Raw genomic sequence first — 2,489 nt, 5'->3', positions numbered from 1 at the left:
TGAAACTGGTTATTCAAGAGAATAACTAAGATTGATAGGATGCCAGCTAGATTAACAAAGAAAGAGAGAGAAGATACAAATAAACACAATCAGAAATGAGAAAAGGGATGTTATCACTGATCTCTCAGAAATACAAAAGAAAAAAACCTCTCAAAGACTATTACAAACACCTCTATGCACACAGAGTAGAAAATGTACAAGAAATGCATAAATTCCTAGAAACATACAATCTTCCAAGATTGAACTGAGAAGAAATTCAAACCCTAAACAGACCAATAATGAGTTTCAAAATGTAATCAGTAATAAAAAGCTTACCAACCAGAGAAAGCCCAGAACCAGATGGATTCACAGCCAAATGCTACCAGACATGGGAAAAAGTGCTGATACCATTCCTACAGAAACTATTTCAAGAAATTGAGGAGGACAGACTCTTCCCTAATTCATGCTATAGGCCAGCATCATTCTAATATCAAAACCTGGCAGAGACAACACAAAAAGAAAACTTCAGGCCAATATCCCTGATGAACATCAGTGCAAAAATTCTCAACAAAATACCAGCAATCTGAATAGAGCAGCACATCAAAAAGCTAACCCACCATGATCAAATAGGCTTTAATGCTGAGATGCAAGGTTGGTTCAACATATGCAAATCAATAAATGTGATTCAACACAAAAACAGAACTAAAATAAAAAACTACAAGATCATCTCAATAGAGGCAGAAAAGGCTTTTGATAAAATTCAACATTCCTTCACTTTAAAAACACTCAACAAACTAGATATTGAAAGAACATACCTCAAATTAATAAAAGCCATCTATTATAAACCCACAGCCAACATCATACTGAATAGGTAAAAGCTGGAAGCTTTCCTCTTGAAAACTTAAACAAGACAAGGATGCCCACTCTCACCCCTCCTAATCAACACAGTTGACTTCCAGTAAACTGGAAATCCTAGCCAGAGCAATCAGGCAAGAGAAGGAAATAAAAGGTCTCAAAATGTGAAGATAGAAAGTAAAACTATCTGTTTGCAGACAATATGATTTTATGTCTATAAAATCTCAGTCTCTGCCCCAAAGCTTTTATATCTAATACGCAACTTCAGGAAGGTTTTGGGATACAAAATCAATGTAATCAGTAGCCTTTCTATACACCAACAACATCCAAGCTGAATGCCAAATCAAGAATGCAATCCTATTCACAATAGCCACACAAAAAATAAAGTACCGAGAAATACATCTAACTAGGAACATGAAAGATCTTTACAAGATTTAGAAAACAATACTAAAAGAAATCAGAGATGACACAACCAAACAGAAAAACATTCCATGATCATAGATAGGAAGACTCAATATTGCTTAAATGGCATACAGCCTAAAGCAGTTTACAGATTCAATGCTATTTCTATTAAATTACCAATGACATTCTTCACTAGTACTCTAATGGTATTCTAAACAGAATTAGAAAAAAAAACTGTTCTGAAATTCACATGGAACCAAAAAAGGGCCTAAAGAGCCAAAACTATCCTAAGCAAAAAAATAAAAATAAAATAAAATAAACAAAAAATTAAAAGCTGGAGGCATCACATTATCTGACTTCAAACTATACTACATGGCTACAGTAACTAAAACAGCATAATATTGGTACAAAAATAGACACAGACCAATGAAACAGACTAGAGAGCCCCAAAATAAAGCCACATACCTACAACCATCTGATCTTCAACAAAGTCAACAAAAACAAGCAATGGGCAAAGGACTCCCTATTTAATAAATGTTGCTGGGATAACTGGAAGGCCATATGCAGAAGATTGAGACTGGATGCCTTCCTTACATCATATATAAAACCTAACACAAGATGGATTAAAGACATAAATGTAAAACCTAAAACTATAAAAATGCTTGAAGAAAACCAAAGAAATACCACTCTGGACATAGATCCTGGCAAAGATTTCATAACAAAGATGCCAACAGTACTTGCAAAAAAAAAAATGGGCAAATGGAGCCTAATTAAACCAAAGACCTTCTGCCCAGCAAAAGAAACTTTCAACAAAGTAAACAGACAACCCACAGAATCATAGGAAGTATTTGCAAACTGAGCAAAGCTCTGACAAAGGTCAAATATCCCAAATCTATAAGGAACTTAAACAAATGAACAAGCAAAAAACAAACAACTCTATTAAAAAGTGGGCAAAGGACATCCACAGGTACTTTTCAAAACACATTTGTGCAGCCAATAAGCACATAAAAATGTTCAACATCACTAATCATTGGAGAAATGCAAGATATCATGAGAGATATCATCTCACACCAGTCAAAATGGCTATAATTAAAAACCCAAAAAATTACAGGTGCTGGCAAGGTTGTGGAGAAAAGGGAACACTTATACACTGCTGGTGGGAATGTAAATTAGTTTAGCCACTGTGGAAAACAGTTTGGGATATCTCAAAGAACTTAAAAAAGAACTACCATTTGACCCAGCAATCCCATTAT

The sequence above is a fragment of the Homo sapiens genome, chromosome 1 (assembly GCF_000001405.40).
Source record: "Homo sapiens chromosome 1, GRCh38.p14 Primary Assembly".
NCBI lineage: Eukaryota > Metazoa > Chordata > Mammalia > Primates > Hominidae > Homo > Homo sapiens.
This window is presented reverse-complemented; position numbering follows the sequence as displayed.